General features: G+C 43.4%; 1 protein-coding gene and 2 pseudogenes across 8 annotated transcripts in view, besides 2 other annotated features; 1 reads left to right on the top strand and 2 right to left on the bottom strand.

The window, feature by feature from the left end:
• ZNF69 (zinc finger protein 69) overlaps positions 1-25,694 on the bottom strand; it is a 92,441-nt gene that overhangs the window by 55,607 nt on the left and 11,140 nt on the right. For 2 of the 8 annotated variants that reach the window (NM_001364731.1, XM_047439351.1), the window contains exons 2-4: positions 20,917-21,001; positions 20,651-20,711; positions 17,920-19,967 (exon numbers count right to left, since the gene is read on the bottom strand). In NM_001364731.1, the coding sequence (NP_001351660.1) occupies positions 18,518-19,967; positions 20,651-20,711; positions 20,917-21,001 (1,596 nt within the window). In that variant the 3' untranslated portion in view covers positions 17,920-18,517. Of the gene's footprint in view, positions 1-10,059; positions 11,208-17,919; positions 19,968-20,650; positions 20,712-20,916; positions 21,053-25,694 lie in introns of those variants that run through there. The other 6 variants (XM_006722874.4, NM_001321163.2, NM_021915.4 and 3 more) reach the window with 6 other exon arrangements.
• Positions 23-812: an enhancer, noted in NCBI's record as "H3K4me1 hESC enhancer chr19:12034619-12035408 (GRCh37/hg19 assembly coordinates)". NCBI's record gives its function as "activates a minimal SCP1, AML or CMV promoter by ChIP-STARR-seq in naive H9 embryonic stem cells {active_cell/tissue: H9 hESC(naive)}" and the evidence as "EXISTENCE:reporter gene assay evidence [ECO:0000049][PMID:30033119]".
• Positions 813-1,603: an enhancer, noted in NCBI's record as "H3K4me1 hESC enhancer chr19:12033828-12034618 (GRCh37/hg19 assembly coordinates)". NCBI's record gives its function as "activates a minimal SCP1, AML or CMV promoter by ChIP-STARR-seq in naive H9 embryonic stem cells {active_cell/tissue: H9 hESC(naive)}" and the evidence as "EXISTENCE:reporter gene assay evidence [ECO:0000049][PMID:30033119]".
• VN2R15P (vomeronasal 2 receptor 15 pseudogene) lies at positions 9,055-9,290 on the top strand (annotated as a pseudogene).
• LOC107985276 (zinc finger protein 440-like) lies at positions 11,765-12,852 on the bottom strand (annotated as a pseudogene).

Genomic DNA, 25,694 nt, shown 5'->3' with positions numbered 1-25,694 from the left:
TCCTCCTTTCAGATCTTCATTTTCACCAGCAGGAAACTCTCACCAGGTTTTGTTTCTGACCTAAGTAAACTGTCAACTTCATGAACCCTTTATCCAGGTGACGCCACCAAACAATTCTGTCTCTAGCTCTAGCCTGATCTTCACACATTTTCTTTTCTTTCTTTCTTTTTTTTTTTTTTTTTTTGAGACGGAGTCTTGCTCTGTAGCCCAGGCTGGAGTGCAGTGGTGCGATCTCGACTCACTGCAAGCTCCGCCTCCCGAGTTCACGCCATTCTCTTACCTCGGCCTCCGGAGTAGCTGGGATTAAAGGCGCCCGCCACCACGCCCGGCTAATATTTTGTATTTTCAGTGGAGACGGGGTTTCACCGTGTTAGCCAGGATGGTCTCGATCTTCTGACCTCTTGATCCGCCCGCCTCGGCCCCGCAAAGTGCTGGGATTACAGGCGTGAGCCACCGCGCCCGGCCACACATTTTCTTTATCTATACAAATAACTCTGACCCCAACGACCCCATGCATGTCAAACCCCAAACCCTGCCCAGAAGACAGCTCCAGAGGTACAACACCAGAAAGGACAGAGACGCCACAAATGCGTCTGCACATGGGTCTTCTGCTTTCCAGGGCTCTGCAGCTTCTCGGAATCCACACCCTTTCTGGAGCTGCTCTGAGCAGCTGGAGGCCACTTGTAGAAGGGGGTGGGCTGCCCGCGAAGCCCCCAGGGAAACTCTCTTTCCCTCCCTTTGCAGGCTGCAGAGACTGTCCTCAACGTGGAATCACTGGCCTTGGGCTCTGCTGCCCCCTGCAGGTTATTCAGCTACTTCTCACCCCATCGATTAGTTTCGCGAGACAAACACCTTCAATCCCATTGTGTAAATAAGACACCAGCAGAGTCCCTGCTCTCCTCCTATGCTTATGTATAAAGTGGGGGAGGAAAAATCTAAGATAACTTAAGGGCATTTGAAAGACTTCCAGATCGCGGTGGAGGTGGCAGCTGAGGGACTCGCAGTCAATGACACTGCAGCACCTCCAGGCCAGGCTGGTGGGAGAGAGGGTGGAGAGCTGGAGATGGATGTGGATAGGTGGAGGGAGCTGCCCTGGGAACTGGGCTCTGCAGCAGTGCGGCTCTAGGGCCCGGAGCCCGGGAGAGCAGAGATGGGGGCTCCCAGGACAGGAAACTCAGGGAGGAGAGAGTCGGGTGGCTTCCATGGGACGGGGTGCTGTTGCAGCTTGTGTGAGCCAGTAGCTATCATAACTAAGCCCAATCGGGACGTGAAAACTTGGATTCCGTGGGAATTTATGAAGAGGAAGGCTCTGATGACAAAGAAGTCATCGATGAGGAGGGGGATGAGGGTCACTGGCAAGCTTGCTTCCTTATGGAAAGAAAAGTGAACACCCAACTACTGCTGCAAAATGGGATCAAAGGATGAGACTCTCGCTGTCAGGGAATAAACTGCTGCAGAACTCTTAGAGATTGCAAAGACCTTTCAACAACAGCCTGGGAGGCCAGGTGCCATGGCTCATGCCTGCAATCCCAACATTTTGGGAGGCCAAAGTGGCAGGATCACTTGAAGCCCGAAGTTGAAGACCACCCTGAGCAGTGAAGTGAGACACTCCCATCTCCATAAATCTATTTTTTAATTAGCCAGGAGAGGTGGTGTGTACCTGTAATCACAGCTACTCAGGAGGCTGAGGCAGGAGGATCACTTGAGCCCCAAAGTTTGAGGCTGCTGTGAGCTGTGATCAGGTTACTGAACTTCAGCAAGACACTGTCTCAAAAAAAAAAAAAATCAAAAACAAAAAAACCCATAAAAAGCCCACCAGACTCCCCGGGGAAACCCTGACCCCCTTGGATGGTCTAATTGTAAAACACAGCAGGTGGTATTTCCTTATGGACTGGATCATTCTGGCCACATAAGAGGCTTGGCCTACTGAGGATTTACCAGGCGGATGACCTCCTTGCAGTCAATGGAAAAGGCCCCTGGTGAAACCATCCCTTTAAACTTTATCAAATTCATCAGGGAGGATGGGAGGAGAAAACTTAAACCAAGCTGCAGAACCTTCAGCATTAATCATTAAGTCAGCTTGTTCCCTGAACTTCCTCATATTTGCTTCATACCTAGTGTCCTAGAATCCCATTGTTGTGGTAAACTGAGGAAGGAGAGACCAATATGGAGTACAGGAGGATTTGTTTATATTTTAGGTACGCACTGGCTCAGACGATTCATATCCAAAAAGCTGAGGACTGAACGAAGACAAAGTGGGGTTTTTATACGCTGTCTTACAGATGCCAAACAAAAGCAGTTAATCATACAGTGACAGGTCATGTAATCTATAGCATAACATAATTTATGACCTTGCATAGCCAGTGTCCTTGTAGCTGCATTGAAAGAAAAACAAGAACTGGCTAAATACAGACATTTGTAAAACATAATAATGCTTAAGAAGACTTGCAAAAGAGTAACAGTAAAAGAATCTGTCTCTTTTTTTTTTTTCCTTCAACATTGCTCTGGAAGGGAGGGGTGTCTGGAGCCCATTCCTTTGGCCTTGGCTATTTGGACATCGTTATCTTCTTGATAAGGTCCTGGAAGTGAGCTGCTAGGCAGAGGAAAACTTGTGCTTTTCTTTTTTCTTTTTAACCCTTGCCTTGCCACACTCTGGGCCTTAGCTTTTACTTTTCTTGGAGTAAATAAATTCAGTACTTATTATTTTTAAATTTCTGCCTCACGATGGACCCTAAATGATAGTTCCTGTTAACTGCTCTATAGATAATAACTTGAACGTTAGATGTTTTCCCTTTGAAATATTTCCATTTCAGGGCCGGGCGCAGTGGCTCATGCCTGTAATCCCAGCACTTTGGGAGGTCGAGGCAGGTGGATCACCTGAGGTCAGGAGTTCAAGACTAGCCTGGCCAAGATGGTGAAACCCTGTCTCTACTAAAAATACAAAAATTAGCTGGGCGTAGTGGCAGGTGCCTGTAATCCCAGCTACTCAGGAGGCTGAGGCAGAGAATCGCTTGAACCCGGGAGTTGGAAGGTTGCAGTGAGCCGAGATTATGCCACTGCACTCCAGCCTGGATGACAGAGTGAGACTCTGTCTCAAAAAACAAACAAACAAACAAACAAACAAACAAAAGAAATTTTCCATTTCAGGGCTGGGAGCATTGGTTCATGACTGTAATCTCAGCACTTTGGGAGGCTGAGGTAGGGGGATCACTTGAGCCTTGGAGTTCAAGAACAGCCTGGGCAATATAGTGAGACTCCATCTGCACAAAAAATTTAAAAACAGCCGGGCATAGTGGCATGTGCCTTTATTCCCAGCTACTTGGGAGGCTGAGGCAGGAGAATCCCTTGGGCCTAGGAGTTTCTGCAGTGAGCTATGATCCCACCACTGCACTCTAGCCTGGGAAACAGAGCCATACTATGTTTCTTAAAGAAAAAAAAAAGGAGAAAAGAAATCCAGACATTTGTTAGTCTTTGGATTATTGGAGAGCATTTATCTGACACTGAGTCCAATGTTTGAGACCAATATATAGACTTATTAGAAAGGGGCACTTTGGGACTGGGACACAGCTCTGCAGGAAGCTTTGGACATATTAACATGTTAGTATGGCAGGCACAAGCCTCAGGCACATCTTTGGAGGGTAGAGCTGTAACTTGGGATGTTACAGCTGCTGCTGAGGGTAAAAATTGGGCCTTATGGCACCCACAGTGTGGTAAATCAGTCCCTTTAGGATTTTGGTTGTAATTATGACATGGAGATGAGACCAGACACTCTTGAATTGAACAAGTTCTGGTAGTATATAATGCTTTCCAGCAGGTGGAATCCTTAAGAAAGAACCTTTCTGTGACTGTGAGAATGGGACTACCATGCCCGGCTAATTTTTTGTATTTTTGGTAGAGATGCGGTTTCACCACGTTGTCCAGGCTGGTCTTGAACTCCTGAGCTCAGGTGATGCACCCCCCTCAGCCTCCCAAAGTGCTGGGATTACAGGTGTGAACCACCGCGCCCAGCCTCCCACTAAGTCTCTTTCATTTGGCCTGGCACAGTTTCCCATGCCTTAATCCCAGCACGTTGAGTGGTCGAGGCAGGTAGATTGCTTGAGCCCAAAAGTTTGGCCTATGACCACCTTGGGCAACATAGTGAGAACTAGTCTCTATTTTATTAAAAAGAGAAATACACACACACATATTTATATACATAAAACAGGGCGAGCATAGTAGCTCACGCCTGTAATCCAAGAACTTTGGGAGGCCAAAGTGAGTGGATCACCTGATATCAAGAGTTCAAGACCAGCCTGGCCAACATGGTGAAACCTTGTCTCTAACTACCAATACAAAAATTATCCGGACATGGTAGTGCACACCTGTGATCCTGGCTATTCTGGAGGCAGAGGCAGTAGAATCGCTTGAACCCAGGAGGCAGAAGTTGCAGTGAGCTGAGATCACGCCATTGCACTCCAGCCTGGACAACAGAGCACAAACTCCATCTCAGGAAGAAAAAAAAAAAAAAAAAAGTAAAAGTTCCTTTTTTGTCCCAAGTCGTTATGGGCTATCACTACTATCACCAGTAGTTGCCTATGAAGCACACCTATTCTCACAATGGGTCCAAGAGGAAAAGTAGAAGATTTGGAGACATTCCAGGTAGATCCAAATGCAGCACGATATCATATACGATAGTATATGATTTATGTGAGGACTCTTGGGATGACTTAGCTGAGGCTGGTATAACAAAATACCATGGACTCAGTTTCTTAAACAGCAGAATTTTTTTCTCACAGTTCTGGAGCTTCGGGAGTCCAACATCTTGCTGCCAGCAATTTTGTTCCTAGTGAAGAGTGTCTTCCTGGCTTGCAGCTAGATGACTTCTTGCTGTGTCCTCACATGCTGGAGAGACAGAGTTCTCTCTCTCTTCTTACTCATCCCATTGTGAGAGCCCTCCTTTATAAATGTATGTGATCTCCTAAAGGGTTCGTGTCCAAATATGACCATGTTGGGGTTTAGGGCTTGCAAGTATAAGTTTTGTTTTTGAGACAGGGTCTCCCTGTGTGGCCCAGGCTGGTTTTAAACTCCTGGGCTCAAGGGATCCTCATGCCTCGGCCTCCCAAATACTGGGATTACAGGAGTGAGCCACCACACCTGGCCTCCAAGTATATATTTTGAGGAGAGTAAATACAAGACACGCCAAGGGGTAAACAGAAGCCCAAAAAGAGGCTTTGGAGACGATGTAATCAGACAGGACTTTATCACATAGCAGATGGGGAGCAAGAGTCACAAAGGAGTGAGGTCTAATTTCAGAATGGCAGAGAGAAGGGACATCGAGGTAGCTGTATGATTGCATGAAGGATGAAAATGCTGCCAGAGCCACTACATGGAAAAGTATTGTAATTATCTAGGAAAAAATGAGAATAAAAAAGAAAAACAAGGGGCCAGGCGCGGTGGCTCACGCCTGTAATCCCAGCACTTTGGGAGGCCAAGGTAGGCGGATCACGAGGGCAGGAGATTGAGACCATCCTGGCTAACACGATGAAACCCCGTCTCTACTAAAAATACAAAAAATTAGCCGGGCGTGGTGGCGGGCGCCTGTAGTCCCAGCTACTCAGGAGGCTGAGGCAGGAGAATGGCGTGAACCCGGGAGGCGGAGGTTGCAGTGAGCGGAGATCGCACCACTGCACTCCAGCCTGGGCGACACAGCGAGACTCCGTCTCAAAAAAAAAAAAAAGAAAAACAAGTAATCATAATGAAAATGGAAAACAGAAAATGAAAAACAGAATAACCTTGGTTAGTATGCAGTTGTTAAAGATTTTAAATAAAATATTTGTCAGAAACATGTACAGATATCTTGGTTTTAAAAAAAAAACCCTAATTGCTGAGCATGGTGGATCATGTCTGCAATCCTAGCACTTTGGGAGGCCGAGGCAAGAGGATTGATTGAGCCCGGGAGTTCGAGACCAGCCTGGGCAAAACCGTGACACCCTTGTCTCTACAAAAAATTTTTGAAAATTAGCTGGGCAGAAAGCCGAGGTGGGAGGATTGCTCAAGCCCAGGAGCTTGATGCTGCAGTGAGTGACCAGAACACTGCACTCCAGCTGGGCTACAGAGCAAGGATGTCTCAAATTAAAATAAAAGAAAACGAGGAGAAAAAGAGAGATAACTACAAATTAGTCAAATGTAAGAGGATGACTGGATACTGCTACACAGAAGATGAAAGATTATATAAGAAAAATGCTCAACCAATGGCAACAAATAAAAAGCAATAAATAATCACACAGAGATTCTGTTTAAGAGTAAATGGGCGACGAAAAGTGAGTTAGATAATTCAAAGTGTTGGCAAATCACAAGAATAAAGGCACGTGCATGAAAGGTGAGATGGTTAATTCATAAGTTACATTCATACTGTACTGACATTTCCTAGTAAATTTGAATTTACCCATAATCTACAACCCAGCAATTATTTCCCAATGTGTAAAACTTTGTGTTGTATTTCCAGTTAGGAATAAAAACAAGAAAAGCATTGTCAATAAGATCAAGAGATAGGCTGGGCATGGTGGCTCATGCCTGTAATCTCAGCACTTTGGGAGGCCGAGGCGGGTGGATCACCTGAGGTCAGGAGTTCGAGACCAGCCTGGACAACATGGTGAAACCGTCTCTACTAAAAATGCAAAAATTAGCTGAGTGTGGTTGCAGGTGCCTATAATCCCAGCTACTCAGGAGGCTGAGGTAGGACAGTTGCTTGAGCCCAGGAGACAAAGGTTGCAGTGAGCCGAGATCCTGCCACTGCACTCCAGCCTGGGTGACAGAGCAAGACTGTCTCAAAAAAAAAAAAAAAAAAGCAGGGTGTGGTGGCTTGTGCCAGCAGTCCCGGCTACCCAGGAGGCTGAGCCAGGAGAATCTGGGAGGCAAGTTGCAGTGAGCCGAGATCACGCCACTGATCCAGCCTTGGCCACAGAGTGAGATTCTATCTGAAAAATAGACAAACAAACAAATAAATAAATTCTCAGATGCGTGGGGAAAGAGCAATTCCATGGCAGCAAGATTCTGTAAAAAAACAAAAGGGAGGCAGCTCAGGTAGGCAGCCTGCCTCACCCACAGCTCACAAGGAAACCCACACTCCAATAGTTACACATTTTCAAGCTTAGGAACCACTTGGACCGTGGAGACACAGGCCAGGCTGGCCCACTCCTAGGTAGTGTGTGAAGGAAATGTGAGCAGTCAGAAAATTACTTCTGGGAATTCCACACACACCCTGCTGGCCCCTCCCCACAGTGTGGACACAGTCCTTCCACCAGGGTCTCAATGCCCACCAAAGACCACTCGCTCACTGTGAGTCAGTGGAAGGTTCTGACCTATGCTGTCTTTTTGCCTGACATCAAATGTGTGGTGCTTGCTGAACACCAATCAATTCTCCAGCACTAAGCAGTTATGTAACCATGCAATTCAGAAGCCACCCAGAGTTAGCAGAGACTCCATGAGTTCCTGGCTCACCCAACACAGCCCCACTTGGCAGATGCAAGTCAAAGCCCCAGGGGCCACCTGTACTTCTCAGCAACTGCATCTAGACCTGGGTCCTGTACAACACCTTACTCAAGTTCCATAATTTGATAGAACTACCCACAGTTCACTTACATTTACCCACTTACTATGAAGGATACAACTCAGGACGAGTCAAATCAAAGACATGGATAGAAAAAGAGTAAGGGGTGTGGAAAGGAGATGGGGGTGGGTGGGCAATCCTGAAAATGGCTGTGATTCATGAAATCCCCCATCCTTTGTGTTGTGCAAGAGCACCTTACTACAATGAAACAAGCTTCCCATGATGACTTAGATGGTGCTACGTTTGTTACCTATGACAAACCAGACACCCACTAGATATTCCAGTATTTACCTCACAAACCATTAGGTGAACAGTTTTCTCTTTAGTGATCTTTAGTCAAAATGAAATATCTATCTACCAAAGCATGCTTCAGTTTCTCTCCTTCCTCCAGGTCCCTGAACTTTTTTCTTTTTTTGAGACAGTCTTGTTCTGTAGCCCAGGCTGGAGTGCAGTAGCATGATCTTGGCTCACTGCAACCTCCGCCTCCCTGGTTCAAGTGATTCTCATGCCTCAGTCACCAGAGTAGCTGGTGTTACAGGTGTGTGCCACCACACCCAGCTAATTTTTATATTTTTCATAGAGATGGTGTTTCACCATGCTGGCCAGGGTGGTCTTGAACTCCTGACCTCAAGTGATCTGCCTGCCTCAGCCTCCCAAAGTGCTGGGATTACAGGCATGAGCCAATCTGCCCAGCGGCCCCTGAATTTTTGACTGACCCCTTCTAAGCCTATATACAAGCACATTTTATGTATTTATTTAATATCTTTTAAGATATTTATTTAATATTTCTATTTTTACTTACAAGTTCAGTACCTAGACTTTTTTGTTATGAACTGTTTTAATGACAAGCTGGCTTCAAGGTCTAGAATTAAAAGTTATTTCTTACCTAAACCCACATTTGTTTCACTAGAATGTCTGGAAAAAGCCCCAAGACAAAAACTATCACTTGCAGAGGGCATCACTGAGTACTGCATCTGCCTGTGGATCCCTAGCTTTCCGGGGCTCTGAGGTTCTCTCAGTATAAAGGGCTCCTCCAATGGTCAATGTGAGTAGCTGGTACACCTGGTACACCTGCAGTGGGGGCATCAGGGGAAGAACCAAGTGAGCTTTTTTTTTCTTTTTTGGAGACAGAGTCTCGCTCTGTCACCCAGGCTGAAGTGCAATGGCGCGATCTCAGCACACTGCAACCTCCGCCTTGTGAGTTTAAGCTACTCTCGTGCCTCAGCCTCCCAACTGGCTGGGATTACAGGCGTGAGCCACTACACCCAGCTACTTTTTGTATTTTTAGTAGAGATGGAGTTTTGCCATGCTGGCCTGGTTGGTCTCAAACTCCCAACCTCAGATGATCCACCCACCTCGGCCTCCCAAAGTGCTGGGATTACAGGCGTGAGCCACCCCACCTGGTGTGAGCTTTCAATGGTCACTCTTTGTAGGATCAGGACTCAAGCAGGCACCAATGTCACTGACTTCCAAAATTAGTGGCCTTCCTGGCATATGAACACCCTTTGGGCCTGTGCTCCAGTGTCCTCTTTGGGGTGCTCCTTGGGCTCTTTGTGAAGCATCAAGACACCCCCATAGTCTAGGCCAATGTCAGGCTCTCCAGTGTGTCCTGTTCATCACCCTCAGCCTGCACTTTCATTGTCATTGTCATTGGCCATTCCAACACTGTGCTTGCATCCTGTGGAAAGTCACATTTGGGGTCAAGTGAATGGTGTTGTTTCTACTCTTTGGTGAAAAGTATCAGGGTGTATTTGGCCTTCAAGGGAGAAGGATGAGGCAGGGGTTGAATTCAGGTGCATCCAACTCTTTCTTTTTTTCTTCTGGAGACAGAGTCTCGCTGTGTCGACTAGGCTGCAGGGTGCAATGGTGTGATCTCAGTTCACTGTAACCTCTGTCTCCAGGCTCAAGCCATTCTCCTGCCTCAGCATCCTGATTAGCTGGGATTACAGGCACACACCACGATGCCCAGCTAGTTTTTGTATTTTTAGTAGAGACAGGGTTTCACCATGTTGGTCAGGCTTGTCTTGAATTCCTGACCTCAAGTGATCCACCCGCTTTGGACTAGCAAAGTGGTGGGATTACAGGTATGAGCCACTGTGCCTGGCCAGGTTTCACTGCCCTGTCTTCCCTGCTCTGAGTCACTTTGTGTGATCTGACAATCAACGACTCCACCCTTCACTGATGTGGATACATTATCTGGGACTGGGTGTGTCACCTCCACACACAGACAGGGTTTGGTCAGTGGCTGATGCTGCATCTTGTGGTGCCTGGATTTTGATCTTAGGGAGTTTTAAATAAGCGTTTCTGAAGAGCAGCTTCATTGGTACCTTAAAGGAAGTGACTGAATTGTTCTAAGCCGTTGCATAATATATAAAAGAAACTTTTCCATGTTGCTGTTAACTTTACACTGCTGAGATAAGCAGGCTGTTGACAAGTTAGCCTCAGCAGCACATTATCAGAGAAAGACAGGCTTGTATTTAGACAATTTACACAAATTTATTAGCCTCCTATGACTCAGTAAAGCAATTGAAAAAATATAGCTTTATAAGGCATAAATGATTTTATGTTTTAACTAAGGTACTTTCTGGTAAACAGTGCCCATACATTTTAGGAAATATTTCAGTCTTTAGAGAATAAGTAAGGCAAAAACAGGTCCAGGAGTCTACAGATGACCTCCCCTCACCACAAGTCCAAGTCATTTTTTTTTTTTTTGAAACGGAGTTTCGCTCTTGTTGCCCAGGCTGGAGTGAATGGTGTGACCTCGGCTCACTGCAACGTCTGCCTCCTATATTCAAGCAAGTCTCCTGCGTCAGCCTCCTGAATAGCTAGGATTACAGGAGCATGCCACCACACCCCGCTAATTTTTGTATTTTTAGTAGAGACGGGGTTTGATCATATTGGTCAGAATGGTCTCTAACTCCTGACCTCGGCCTCCCAAAGTGCTGGGATTACAGGCGTGAGCCACCATGCCCAGCCAATGCCAAGTCTTTTACTGTTGAAGAGACACATGTCACATACCAGGCATATGAGACGATGCTCCTCAGTGACCATGATGAATCAGGATAAAACTAAGGGCATTTTGTAACTATATTTCTAAATGTGATAGAGGAAAACATATTTCAAATCATAAACATGGCCAAAATTTTTCTCTTCTTACTAATGTGACGTGTCATTCTCATACATCTCACAGTCATTTATGGCTTTTGGTCATATTTATCACTATGGTATATTACACACTTGCTGACAGCAGGTATGGTACTGCTGGCTTTTGGGAAGAAGGCACTCAGAGGTACATGAGATAACTGTTGGTATTATGACTGAATGAAAAATTAGGGTTGCGGCTGGGCATGATGGCTCATATCTGTAATCCCAGCATTTTGGGAGGCCGAGGCAGGCGAATCATGAGGTCTGGAGTTCAAGACCAGCCTGGCCAATATGGTGAAACCCTGTCTCTACTAAAAAATACAAAAAATTAGCCTGGCGTGGTGGTGCATGCCTGTAGTCCCAGCTACTCAGGAGGCTGAAGCAGGAGAGTTGCTTGAACCCTGGAGGCAGAGGTTGCAGCGACCTGAGATCATGCCACTGCACTCCAGCCTGGGTGACAGAGTGAGATTTTTTTCTGGAAAAAAAAAAAGATAAGAAAAATTAGGGTTGAGATAAAAATGTAAGTACATAAGCATGAAAAGTAAAATTTCCGAAAAAAAAAAGATGCCTGGCATTTTATCCACATGGTTATACTGACTCACAATGTCCAAATAATAACAATTTAACAGTATAAGGTTGATCTAATACATGACACCAATGGGATATTTTATTATAGCTTTTTTTTTTGAAACGGAGCCTCACTCTGTCGCCCAGACTGGAGTGCAGTGGCGCAATCTTGGCTCACTGCAAGCTCTGCCTCCTGGATTCATGCCATTCTCCTGCCTCAGCCTGCCGAGTAGCTGGGACTGCAGGCACCCACCACCACGCCTGGCTAATTTTTTGTATTTTTAGTAGAGACAGGGTTTCACCATGTTAACCAGGATGGTCTCGATCTCCTGGCCTCGTGATCTGCCTTGGCCTCCCAAACTGGTGGGATTACGGGCATAAGCCACCGCACCCGGCCTTACTATTATAGCTTCTTAATTATTTAAAGATAACATTTGTTAGTATACAGTTATTACAAACAGTTAATTGTTTACATTCATTATCTGTATTCAAAGAATCTTGTCAGGTCTGAATGCTTTCCCATACTGCTTACATTCATAGGGTTTCTCTCCAGTGTGAGTCCTTCCATACATTTGAAGGTGTGAGGCTGATCTGAAGGCTTTCCTGCATTGCTTACATTCATAGGGCTTCTCTCCAGTGTGAGTCCTTTCATGACATCGAAAGCAACTAGAAAAATGAAGGCTTTCCCACATGGCATACACTCATAGGGTTTCTCTCCCATGTGAGTCCTTTCATGATATTGAAAAGAAGTGGAAGAAATAAAGGCTTTCGCACATTGCTTACACTGATAGGGTTTCTCCCCAGTGTGAATTCTTTCATGATATTGAAAAGAACTGGAAGAAGTGAAAGCTTTGCCACATTGCTTGCCTTCATAGGGTTTCCTTCCAATGTCTTTTCATGTCTATGAAAGGAAGTAGGCAAGCTGAATGCTTTTCTGCATTCTTTACATTCATAGGGTTTCTCTCCATTGTGTGTTCTTGCATGTATTCAAAGGATCTTGGCAGGTATGAATGCTTTCCCACAATGCTTACATTCACAGAGCTTCTCTCCTCTGTGCATCCTTTCATGTATTTGCAAAGAAGAGAAATTATGGAACGCTTTCCCACATTTCTTACATTCACAGGGTTTCTCTCCAGTGTGTGTCCTTTCATGAATTCAACAATTTTTGACAGATCTGAAGGCTTTCCCACATTGCTTACATTCATAGGGTTTCTCTCCAGTGTGAGTCCTACCATGTTTTCAAAGGTGTGAGGTAGATCTGAAGGCTTTTCCACATTGCTTACACTCATAGGGTTTCTCTCCAGTGTGAGTCCTTTCATGATATGGAAAGGAAGTGAAAGAAACAAAGGCTTTACCACATTGCTTACACTCATAGGGTTTCTCTCCAGTGTAAGATTTTTCATGTATTTGAAATGACTTGGCAGAATAAAAGCCTTTCCCACATATCTTACATTTATAAGGTCTTTCTACAGAGTGCATTCTTTTATTATTATTATTATTATACTTTAAGTTCTAGGGTACATGTGCACAATGTGCAGGTTTGTTACATATGTATACACGTGCCATGTTGGTGTGCTGTACCCATTAACTTGTCATTCATATTAGGTATATCTCCCAGTGCTATCTCTCCCCTCCCCCTACCCCATGACAGGCCCTGGTGTGTGATGTTTCCCTCCCTGTGTCCAAGTGTTCTCATTGTTCAGTTCTCTCCTATGAGTGAGAATATGCAGTGTTGGTTTTCTGTCCTTGTTATAGTTTGCTCAGAATGATGGTTTCCAGCTTCATCCATGTCCCTACAAAGGACATGAACTCATCATTTTTTATGGCTGCATAGTATTCCATGGTGTATATGTGCCACGTTTTCTTAATCTAGCCTATCATTGATGGACATTTGGTTTGGTTCCAAGTCTTTGCTATTGTGAATAGTGCCACAATAAACATACGTGTGCATGTGTCTTTATAGCAGCATGATTTATAATCCTTTGGGTATATACCCAGTAATGGGATGGCTGGGTCAAATGGTATTTCTAGGTCTAGATTCTTGAGGAATCACCACACTGTCTTCCACAATGGTTGAACTAGTTTACAGTCCCACCAACAGTGTAAAAGTGTTCCTATTTCTCCACATCCTCTCTAGCACCTGTTGTTTCCTGACTTTTTAATGATTGCCATTCTAACTGGTGTGAGATGGTATTTCATTGTGGTTTTGATTTGCATTTCTCTGATGGCCAGTGATGGTGAGCATTTTTTCATGTGTCTGTTGGCTGCATAAATGTCTTCTTTTGAGAAATGTCTGTTCATATCCTTTGCCCACTTTTTGACGGGGTTGTTTGATTTTTTCTTGTAAATTTGTTTAAGTTCTTTGTAGATTCTGGATATTAGCCCTTTGTCAGATGGGTAGATTGTAAAAATTTTCTCCCATTCTGTAGGTTGCCTGTTCACTCTGATGGTAGTTTCTTTTGCTGTGCAGAAGCTCCTTAGTTTAATTAGATCCCATTTGTCAATTTTGGCATTTGTTGCCATTGCTTTTGGTGTTTTAATCATGAAGTCCTTGCCCATGCCTATGTCCTGAATGTTACTGCCTAGGTTTTCTTCTAGGGTTTTTATGGTTTTAGGTCTAACATTTAAGTCTTTAATCCATCTGGAATTTAATTTTTGTATAAGGTGTAAGGAAGGGATCCAGTTTCAGCTTTCTACATACGGCTAGCCAGTTTTCCCAGCACCATTTATTAAATAGGGAATCCTTTCCCCATTTCTTGTTTTTATCAGGTTTGTCAAAGATCAGATGGTTGTAGATGTGTGGTATTATTTCTGAGGGCTCTATTCTGTTCCATTGGTCTATATCTCTGTTTGGTACCAGTACCATGCTGTTTTGGTTACTGTAGCCTTGTAGTATAGTTTGAAGTCAGGTAGCCTAATGCCTTGAGCTTTGTTCTTTTGGCTTAGGATTGTCTTGGCAATGTGGGCTCTTCTTTGGTTCCATATGAACTTTAAAGTAGTTTTTTCCAATTCTGTGAAGAAAGTCATCGGTAGCTTGATGGGGATGGCATGGAATCTACAAATTACCTTGGGCAGTATGGCCATTTTCATGATATTGATTCTTCCTATCCACGAGCATGGAATGTTCTTCCATTTGTTTGTGTCCTCTTTGATTTCGTTGAGCAGTGGTTTGTAGTTCTCTTTGAAGAGGTCCTTCACATCCCTTGTAAGTTGGATTCCTAGGTATTTTATTCTCTTTGAAGCAATTGTGAATGGGAGTTCACTCATGATTTGGCTCTCTGTTTGTCTGTTGTTGGTGTATAGGAATGCTTGTGATTTTTGCACATTGATTTTGTATCCTGAGACTTTGCTGAAGTTGCTTATCAGCTTAAGGAGATTTTGGGCTGAGATGATAGGGTTTTCTAAATATACAATCATGTCATCTGCAAACAGGGACAATTTGACTTCCTCTTTTCCTACTTGAATACCCTTTAGTTCTTTGTCCTTCCTGATTGCCCTGGCCAGAACTTCCAACACTATGTTGAATAGGAGTGGTGAGAGAGGGCATCCCTGTCTTGTGCCAGTTTTCAAAGGGAATGCTTCCAGTTTTTGCCCATTCAGTATATGATATTGACTGTAGGTTTGTCATAAATAGCTCTTATTATTTTGAGATACATCCCATCAATACCCAGTTTATTGAGAGTTTTTAGCATAAAGGGCTGTGGAATTTTGTCGAAGGCCTTTTCTGCATCTATTCAGATAATCTTGTGGTTTTTGTCTTTGGTTCTGTTTATATGATGGATTACGTTTATTGCTTTGCATATGTTGAATCAGCCTTGCATCCCAGGGATGAAGCCAACTTGATCGTGGTGGATAAGCTTTTTGATGTGCTGCTGGATTTGGTTTGCCAGTATTTTATTGAGGATTTTTGCATCGATGTTCATCAGGTATATTGGTCTAAAATTCTTTTTGTTGTGTCTCTGCCAGGCTTTGGTATCAGGATGTTGCTGGCCTCATAAAATGAGTTAGGGAGGATTCCCTCTTTTTCTATTGATTGGAATAGTTTAAGAAGGAATGGTACTAGCTCCTCTTTGTACCTCTGGTAGAATTCAGCTGTGAATCCATCTGGTCCTTGACTTTTTTTGGTTGGTAGTCTATTAATTATTGCCTCAATTTCAGAGCCTGTTATTGGTCTATTCAGGGATTCGACTTCTTCCTGGTTTAGTCTTGGGAGGGTGTATGTGTCCAGGAATTTATCCATTTCTTCTAGATTTTCTAGTTTATTTCCATAGAGGTATTTATAGTACTCTCTGATGGTAGTTTGTATTTCTGTGGGATCGGTGGTGATATCCCCTTTATCATTTTTTATTGCATCTATTTGATTCTTCTCTCTTTTCTTCTTTATTAGTCTTGCTGGCGGTCTATCAATTTTGTTGATCTTTTCAAAAAAACAGCTCCTGGATTCACTGATTTTTTGAAGGGTTTTTTCTGTCTCTGTCTCCTTCAGTTCTGCTCTGATCTTAGTTATTTCTTGCCTTCTGCTAGCTTTTGAATGTGTTTGCTCTTGCCTCTCTAGTTCTTTTAATTGTGATGTTAGGGTGTCAATTTTACATCTTTCCTGCTTTCTCCTGTGGGCATTTAGTGCTATAAATTTCCCTCTACAAACTGCTTTAAATGTGTCCCAGAGATTCTGGTATGTTGTGTCTTTGTTCTCATTGGTTTCAAAGAACATCTTTATTTCTGCCTTCATTTGTTATGTACCCAGTAGTCATTCAGGAGCAGGTTGTTCAGTTTCCATGTATTTGAGTGGTTTAGAGTGAGTTTCTTAATCCTGAGTTCTAGTTTGATTGCTCTGTGGTCCGAGAGACAGTTTGTTATAATTTCTATTCTTCTACATTTGCTGAGGAGTGCTTTACTTCCAACTATGTGGTCAATTTTGGAATAAGTGTGATGTGGTGCTGAGAAGAATGTATATTCTGTTGATTTGGGGTGGAGAGTTCTGTAGATGTCTATTAGGTCCTCTTGGTGCAGAGCTGAGTTCAATTCCTGTATATCCTTGTTAACTTTCTGTCTCATTGATCTGTCTAATGTTGACAGTGGGATGTTAAAGTCTCCCATTATTATTGTGTGGGAGTCTAAGTCTCTTTGTAGGTCTCTAAGGACTTGCTTTATGCATCTCAGTGCTCCTGTATTGGGTGCATAAATATTTAGGATAGTTAGCTCTTCTTGTTGAATTGATCCCTTTACCTTTATGTAATGGCCTTGTCTCTTTTGATCTTTGTTGGTTTAAAGTCTGTTTTATCAGAGACTAGGATTGCAACCCCTGCTTTTTTTGTTTGTTTTCCATTTGCTTGGTAGATCTTCCTCCATCCCTTTATTTTGAGCCTATGTATGTCTCTGCACGTGAGATGGGTCTCCTGAATACAGCACACTGATGGGTCTTGATTCTTTATCCAATTTGCCAGTCTGTGTCTTTTAATTGGAGCATTTAGCCCATTTACATTGAAGGTTAATATTGTTATGTGTGAATTTGATCCAGTCATTATGATGTTAACTGGTTATTTTGCTCGTTAGTTGATACAGTTTCTTCCTAGCCTCAATGGTCTTTACAATTTGGCATGTTTTTGCAGTGGCTGGTACCGGTTGTTCCTTTCCATGTTTAGTGCTTCCTTCAGGAGATCTTTTACAGCAGGCCTGGTGGTGACAAAATCTCTCAGCATTTGAATCTGTAAAGGATTTTATTTCTCCTTCACTTATGAAGCTTAGTATGGCTGGATATGAAATTCTGGGTTGAAAATTCTTTCCTTTAAGAATGTTGAATATTGGCCCCCACTCTTTTCTGGCTTGTAGAGTTTCTGCCAAGAGATCCGCTGTTAGTCTGACGGGCTTCCCTTTGTGGGTAACCCGACCTTTCTCTCTGGCTGCCCTTAACATTTTTTCCTTCATTTCAACTTTGGTGAATCTGACAATTATGTGTCTTGGAGTTGCTCCTCTCGAGGAGTATCTTTGTGGCGTTCTCTGTATTTCCTGAATTTGAATGTTGGTCTGCCTTGCTAGGTTGGGGAAGTTCTCCTGAATAATATCCTGAAGAGTGTTTCCCAACTTGGTTCCATCCCTGTCACTTTCAGGTACACCAATCAGACATAGATTTGGTCTTTTCACATAGTCCCATATTTCTTGGAGGCTTTTTCATTTCTTTTTACTCTTTTTTCTCTAAACTTCTCTTCTCACTTCATTTCATCCATTTGATCTTCAATTACTGATACCTTTTCTTCCACTTGATTGAATCAGCTACTGAAGCTTGTGCATGCATCACATAGTTCTCGTGCCATGGTTTTCAGCTCCATCGGGTCATTTAAGGTCTTCTCTACACTGTTTATTCTAGTTAGCCATTTTGTCTAATCTTTTTTCAAGGTTTTTAGCTTCTTTGTGATGGGTTCGAACATCCTCCTTTAGCTTGGAGAAGTTTGTTATTACCGATCATCTGAAGCCTTCTTCTCTCAGCTCGTCAAAGTCAAAGTCCAGCTTTGTTCCATTGCTGGCGAGGAGCTGCGTTCCTTTGGAGGAGAAGAGGCGCTCTGATGTTTAGAATTTTCAGCTTTTCTGCTCTGGTTTCTCCCCATCTTTGTGGTTTTATCTACTTTTGGTCTTTGATGATGGTGATGTACAGATGGGTTTTGGTGTGGTTGTCCTTTCTGTTTGTTAGTTTTCCTTCTAACAGTCAGGACCCTCAGCTGAGGTCTGTTGGATTTTGCTTGAGGTCCACTCCAGACCCTGTTTGCCTGGGTATCACCAGCAGGGGCTGCAGAACAGCAAATATTGCAGAACGGCAAATGTTGTTGCCTGATCCTTCCTCTGGAAGCTTCGTCACAGAGGGGCACACGGCCGTATGAGGTGTCAGTTGGCCCCTACTGGGAAGTGCCTCCCAGTTAGGCTACTTGGAGATCAGGGACCCACTTGAGGAGGCAGACTGTCCATTCTTAGATCTCAAACTCCATGCTGGGAGGACTGCTACTCTCTTCAAAGCTGTCAGACAGGGACATTTAAGTCTGCAGAAGTTTCTGCTGCCTTTTGTTCAGCTATCCAGAATGCATTCTTATGTGTGCTTGTGTCCTTTACTGAATTCGAAGGTTCTGGGCAGACCTGAAGGGTTTCCCACATTCTTTACATTCATGGTTTCTCTTGATTGTGTGTCCTACCATGCATTCAAAGGTGTGAGGCAGATCTGAAGGCTTTCCCTCATTGCTTACACTCATAGGGTTTATCTTCAGGGTGAGTCCTACCATGCATTCGAAGGACTGAGGCAGCTCTGAAGGCTTTCCCACATTGCTTGCATTTATAGGGTTTCTCTCCAGTGTGAGTCCTTTCATGGTATCGAAAGGAACTGGAACTACTGAAGGCTTCACCACATTGCTTGCATTCATAGAGTTTCTCTCCAGTGTGAGTTTTTTCATGTCTTTGCAATGATTTGGGACAATAAAAGCCTTTCCCACATAGCTTACATTTATAAGGTCTTTCTCCAGAGTGTATTCTTACGTGTGTTTGTGTCCTTTCATGACTTTGAAGGTTCTTCATAGATCTGAAGGCTTTCCCACATTCCTGACATTCATAGGGCTTCTCTCCAGTGTGAGTCCTACCATGCAATTGAAGGTGTGAGGAAGATCTGAAGGCCTTCCCACATTGCTTACACTCATAGGGTTTCTCTCCAGTGTGAATCCTTTCATGATAACGAAGGGAACTGGAATGAATGAAGGCTTTACCACATTGCTTGCATTTATAGGGTTTCTCTCCACTGTGAGTTTTTTCATGTCTTTGAAATGAATTGGCAGAACAAAAGCCTTTCCCACATATCTTACATTCATAAGGTCTTTCTCCAGAGTGCATTCTTATGTGTGTTTGAAAACTTGTAAGAGAGGATAATGCTTTCCCACACTGCGTACATTCATAGGGTTTTTTCCTAGAGTGGGTCCTTTCATGTATACGAACATACTGGGGACACGTGAATGCTTTTCCACATTCCTTACATTGATAAGCCTTCTCTCCCGTGTGAATCCTTTCATGTCTACGATAGCATCTGGGACTATGAAATGCTTTCCCACATTGCTGACATTCATAAGGCTTTTCTCCAGTGTGAGTTCTTTCGTGTATTCGAAGGGTAGCAGAATAACTAAAGGATTTACCACATTGTTTACATTCATATGGTTTCTCTCCAGTGTGAATTCTTTCATGGATAAGATATAAACTGAGACAATGGAAGGCTTTCCCACAAAATTTACATTTATAAGGTCCATCCCCACTGTGCATTACCACGTGTCTTTGAATGCTTGAATGGGAAATAAAAGTTTTTCCACATTCTTTACAAGCATAGGGTTTCTCTCCAGTGTGATCCCTTTGTGGTGTTCTAAAGGAGGGGTGATATCTGAAGGCTTTTTTAGGTTGTTGACACTTACATGGCTTCGGTCCATATTCCTGATACTCATAGGCCTTGTGTCCAATGTCACCTCTGATGTTCATATTAAAAGATGAGTTACCTAGGCCAACTTCTCCACACACAAAGCTGTCACATGATTTTATTTCAGGAGAAGCTTTCTTCTCCTGGAAGTTCAGCCTGTCATCTGGAACCTGGGTAAAAGTTTCTCCACAATGACTGTCATCTTTAATTTCATTGACTTTCTTTTCTATGAGACTCCTGTCAAAAATGAGAAGCACATTACAAAGGGTTTGTTTATAAGTAATTTTATATTAATCAACAAGTACTGAACTTGCATTTTTAACACTGTCCATCAAAGTGTAGGCTTTCTGCCCTGTCTGAATTGTTTGAAGGTGACTGGACAACCCATTGTACAAGGTGACCCAGCCATAACTATTATTTAAAAAACTGTTTATATGGGGCTTCTTAATACTCTTCCCATGTAAACTATTTTACAAATACTAAATACTCTGTGTCATTTTTCTTTTATTTAGGGGTCTCGTCCTGTTGCCCACACTGGAGTGCAGTGATATCATCATAGCTTACTGCAGCCTTTACTGGCTCAAGTGATCCTCCTGCCTCAGCCTCCTGAGTAGCTGGGACTACAGACCACAATGCCCAGCTAATTTTTTGCTGTTGTTGATATGTGGTCTCGTTATGTTGCCCAGGCTGTTCTTGAACTGCTGGCCTCAAGCTATCCTCCTATCTCCACTTCTCAAAGGATTGGGATTACAGGAGTGAGCCCACAGCCTAGGTCACATTTATATATATGTTTTTTGATCAAATATTCTAAAAATAAATGTATTTGATCCTGGACTTAGTTCTTTTACTTATTTTTAATATATTGTCATATTCTAAGATTGTCTAGAGAGACACTGCTTTGTCTTGTAAGTACAAATTACCTGAAGTTTCTCCTGGGGTTTTGGTACTCATATTCAATGTTCTGGTCTTTCCAACTTTTTCCTAAAATATAGACACAGAAAAATAGTCCTGAGGCAGTATAAAATTGTGAAAAAATTATTAGATTCTATGCCCATGATTTACTGCAGCCATACCTCATTTATTCATCAAAGTATTTCCTGTCTATGTTCTAAATCACTCAACAGCATTGATGAGCTAGAAACACTGGTTCACTAATGGACTGAGGGAAGGAATATGTCATCCTTACCTACAGAGGTCAGGTTCCTGAAAGTTTCCAGCATCACTTCCTTGTAGAGTTTCCTCTGGGAAATATCCAGCAAAGCCCACTCCTCCTGGGTGAAGTTCACAGCAACATCATCAAAGGCCACTGGGTCCTGAAACATCTCACATGTGTAGAGGAGGATGGGTGAGAGTGACAGCACTGGGGGCCTAGACTCTATTCTCAAGAAGTTCTCAGGATGCCGTGGACTCCAAGGGTCATCAGATCTCTTTCTCCCTGTGTATACTTACTTTCTTCCATAAAGCAATTCTTTTTTTTGAGACAGATTTTCACTCTTATTGCCCAGGCTGGAGTGCAATGGCGTGATCTCGGCTCACTGCCGGGGTTCTACCACTTCTTCTTCCTCAGCCTGAGTAGCTAAGATTACAGGCATGTGCCACCATGCCTGGTTAATGTTGTATTTTTAGTGGAGACGGGGTTTCTCCATGTTGGTCAGGCTGCTGACCTCAGGTGATCCGCCTGCCTCAGCCTCCCAAAGTGCTGGGATTACAGGCGTGAGCCACCAGGCCTGGCCAGCAGTTGTTTTTTTTAAGACAGCGTCTCGTTCTGTTACCCAGGCTGGAGTGTAGTGGCACCATCGTGGCTCACTACAACCTCTTACTCCTGGGTTCATGCAATTCTCATGCCTCAGCCTCCTGAGTAGTTGAGACCACAGGCATGTGCCACCACACCTGGCTAGTTCATAAAGCAATTGTGATGCTAGAACTGAACAAGGGCTAAAGCCACAGCAGGATAGGAAATGTATTTACCGAACCCAGGGAGAAAAGTGAGTTGCCTGGGCTGTCCCTAATGTCTCTTTGGACTGTGGGTCTTTGGACTGTAGCATCTGTCATGACAGAGTCCTATGAATTAATATGCAGAAAAAGTTAACATTAGCAGTCCTGAGGCTGTGTATCCTTGAAAATGCCTGTTCCCAAAGTGTAATCTTTGATGATATTGTCAGAGGAAGCATGTAGGTAGCAAAGAGCAGGAGGGGGAGCCCCTGGGAAATCACACTCCCCCAGGGACCACCCAAATCAGGCATGCTAGATATAAGCAGAGAGGAGGGGAATAACCTAGGTAGAAAGAAACTTCCATTATGATGCCCAGGAATCATTCATTTTGCAGTTATCCTGTCAGAATGTAGCTAGATAGATGCTGACAGGGCAAAGGGGACATTCCTAAAAAATACCTGGCACTGTATGTACTCAAGAGGGCAAACAAGAAACTCTTAAGAGATACCCAGGTGTCATAAGCACAGATTTAACCACTATACCACCTTCCTGAGGTGGCAGTAATGAGCAATGCAGCCACCCACATATCCACTGATGGCTAAATGGAAAAACAAAATGTGGTAAGCATATATATAAAATGGGATATTATTTACTCTTAGAAAATGACATCTTAGCCGGGCATGGTGGCTGACGCCTGTAATCCCAGCACTTTGGAAGACTGAGGCGGGCAGATCACCTGAGGGACAGAGTTTGAGATCAGCCTGACCAGCATGGAGAAATGCCGTCTCTACTAAAAATACAAAATTACCCGGGCATGGCGGCACATGCCTGTAAACCTAGTTACTCAGGAGGCTGAGGCAGGAGAATTGCTTGAACCCGGGAGGCAGGAGGTTGCGGTGAGCCAAGATTGCACCATTGCACTTCAGCCTGGGCAACAAGAGTGAAACTCCGATTCAAAAAAAAAAAAAAAAAAAAGAAAATAACATCTTGGCCTATACTACAACATGCATGAAACCTCAGGATAATTGAAAAAAGCAAAATACAATAGAATTCATCTTAGAGAACTTATGTAGATCTGTCAAACTATCTCAACTGTACATGTAAAATTTCTTAAGCTGATAAGTTTCACATTTTGTTTTAAGATAAGTAATGATAACAAATCATGGTAGCAGCCAGGCATGGTGGCTCATGCCTGTAATCCCAGCACTTTGGGAGGTTAAGGTGGGCGGATCACTTGAGGTCGGCAGTTTGAGACCACTCTGGCCAACATGGTGGAAATCCATCTCTAAAAAAACACAAAAATTAGCCAGGCATGGTGGCACATGCCTATAGTCACAGTTACTTGAAAGGCTGACATGGGAGAATCATTTGAACCTGGGAGGCAGAGGTTGCAGTGAGCCGAGATCACGCCACTGCACTCCAGCCGGGGCAACAGAGTGAGACTCTTAAAACAAACAAAACACCATAAGAATGTCCTAATAGAGGCAGAAAAGGCATCTGACAAGCCTTAACCAATTTATGCCTAGTGTTCCCTTTTTGGAACGCTAAGCATGTGGGAATTGTTTATATCCTACTGCTTAAGGTCATGGCCAAAGTCTGATTTTTCACACGTCGGCAATTCAAAAAAGTGCAACCTCCAGCATAAATAAGTTAATATCTCCTGATGATTAAAAATGCTCAATAAATTAAATATAAAAGAGAAGATTCCATAAGATGACAAGAGAGGCACTAGGAACATAGAAACATCTACTATAAAGACATGTACTAAAAATGCAAACCCAGAGGCCAAGGCAGACAGATCATTTGAGCCCCTCAGTTCAAGACCAGCCTGGGCAACATAAGGAGACCCTGTCTCCATAATAAAGTAAAAAATTAGGCATGGTGGCACAAAACAAATGGTATTGAAACACCTGAATTAGCAAATGCAAAGAAATGAATTAGACACAGAACTGCACCTTTTACAAAACTACTTCCTAATGAATCATTTACTTAAATGGAAAATGCAAAACTCACAATTTCTAGAACGTAACACTGAGAAAACCAAGACGACCTTGGATTTGGCAATAAGGTTTCACACACAACACAAAAAGCATGATCTGTGAATGAGAAAATCGATAAATTGGACTTCATTCAAAACAAAAATGTTTTGGAAAAGACTTTGTTAAAAGAAGAAAAAGAGAGGCAGCAGACAGGGACAAAATATTTGCAAGACACCTATCTGATCAAGGATTTGTACCCAAAAGGTATAAAGAACTCCTAAAATTCTGTAAGAAAAAAACCAACCAATCAAAAAATAAGCAAAAGGCCGGTTACGGTGGCTCATGCCTTAATCCCAGCACTTTGGGAGGCAGAGACGGGTGGATCACCGAAGTCAGGAGTTTGAGACCAGCCTGACTAACATGGTGAAACCCCGTCTCTAGTAAAAATACAAAAATTAGCTGGGCCTGGTGGCGTGAGCCTGTAATCCCAGTTACTCAGGAGGCTGAGGCAGGAGAATCGCTGGAACCCAGGAGACAGAGGTTGCAGTGAGCCGAGATCACGCCACTGCCCTCCAGCCTGGGTGACAGAGCCAGACTCAGTCTCAAAAAAAAAAAAAGCCCAATCTTTCCAAGTATACCTCCCCCTAAAGAATGTAATTATGGCAAACAAACATATGACAGGATGCCCTACATTACATGTTATTAAAGAGCAAATGAAAACAGGCCGGGTGCAGTGGCTCATGCCTGTAATCCAGCCCTTTGGGAAGCTGAGGCGGGTGGATCACCTGAGGTCAAAAGTTTGAGACCAGCCTGGACAACATGGTGAAACCCTGTCTCTACTAATAATACGAACAGCAGCCATGCATGGCGGCGTACACCTGTAATCCCAGTTAATTGGGAGTCTGAGTCAGGAGAATCGCTTAAACCCGGGAGGCAGAGGCTGCAGTGAGCTCAATCACACCATGGTACTCCAGTCTGGGCAACAAGAACGAAACTCCGTCTCCAAAGGGAAAAAAAAAGGAAAACAAAAATAAAGCACCAGCAAATACCTGGTGGAGTAGCTAAAATCCAAAACACTGACACTTCCAAATGCTGGAGACAGTGAACTCTCCTTCACTAGGGATGTGAATGGAAAATTCTACAGCCAATTTGGAAGACAGTCTGTGGAGCTCTGAAGAAAATAAGCATGGTCTTACTGATTCAGTAGTCTCATTCCTACATATTGACTCAAATGAACTGAAAACTGATGTCCACACAAAAGTCCTCCCACAAATGTTTTTAGCAGCCTTACTCATAACTGCCAAAAACTAGAATCAAACAAGGTGAGTCTTTAAAAAAAAAAATAGATAAGTTCTCACACTGTATCTACCAGGCTGTTCTCTAACTTCTGGCCTTAAGCAATCTCACCTCAGTCTCCCGTGTGCTGGGAACTCAGGGATGAGGCATCACACCAGGCTCAAGATGAGTCTTTCAGTAGATGAATAAAGAAACAAACTATGGTAACATCTGTACAATGGAATGTTACTCAGTAATGAAAGAAAATGAGTGGCCGGACATGGTGGCTCACAAGTGGAATCCAGGCATTTGGGAAGCTCAGGCAGGAGGATCACCTGAGCTGGGGAGTTTGAGACCCTGTCTCTCACAAAACAAAAATCTTTAGATAAAGAAAGAAAAATAAAAAATAAGTGAGTTGTCAAGCAACAAAGGTATCGAGAGACCTTCAATGCATATTTTTACATGAAAGAAGCAAGTCTGAAATGGCCACTTACAGCATCATTCCAAATATGTGATATTCTGGAAAATGCAAAACGGAGGCAGGAACATCACCATTTGTTGCCAGGGATAAATAGGGGTGGCAAAAGAGGGAAGGGAGAGATAGAATTAGGAGGAGCACAGGGGATTTTGAGGGCAGTGAAACGCTTCTGTATAAGACTGTGATGGTGGATACATGACACATGTAGTTGTCTTAAACCACAGAACACAAAGAGTGAAGCCTAATGTAAAAGATGGACTTTAGGTAATAATAACATTGGCTTCTTCAATTTTCATCATG

The sequence above is a fragment of the Homo sapiens genome, chromosome 19 (genome assembly GCF_000001405.40).
Source record: "Homo sapiens chromosome 19, GRCh38.p14 Primary Assembly".
NCBI classification, from domain to species: Eukaryota; Metazoa; Chordata; class Mammalia; order Primates; family Hominidae; genus Homo; species Homo sapiens.
The sequence above is the reverse complement of the archived record's forward strand: the minus strand, read 5'-3'. Positions and strand labels throughout refer to the sequence as shown.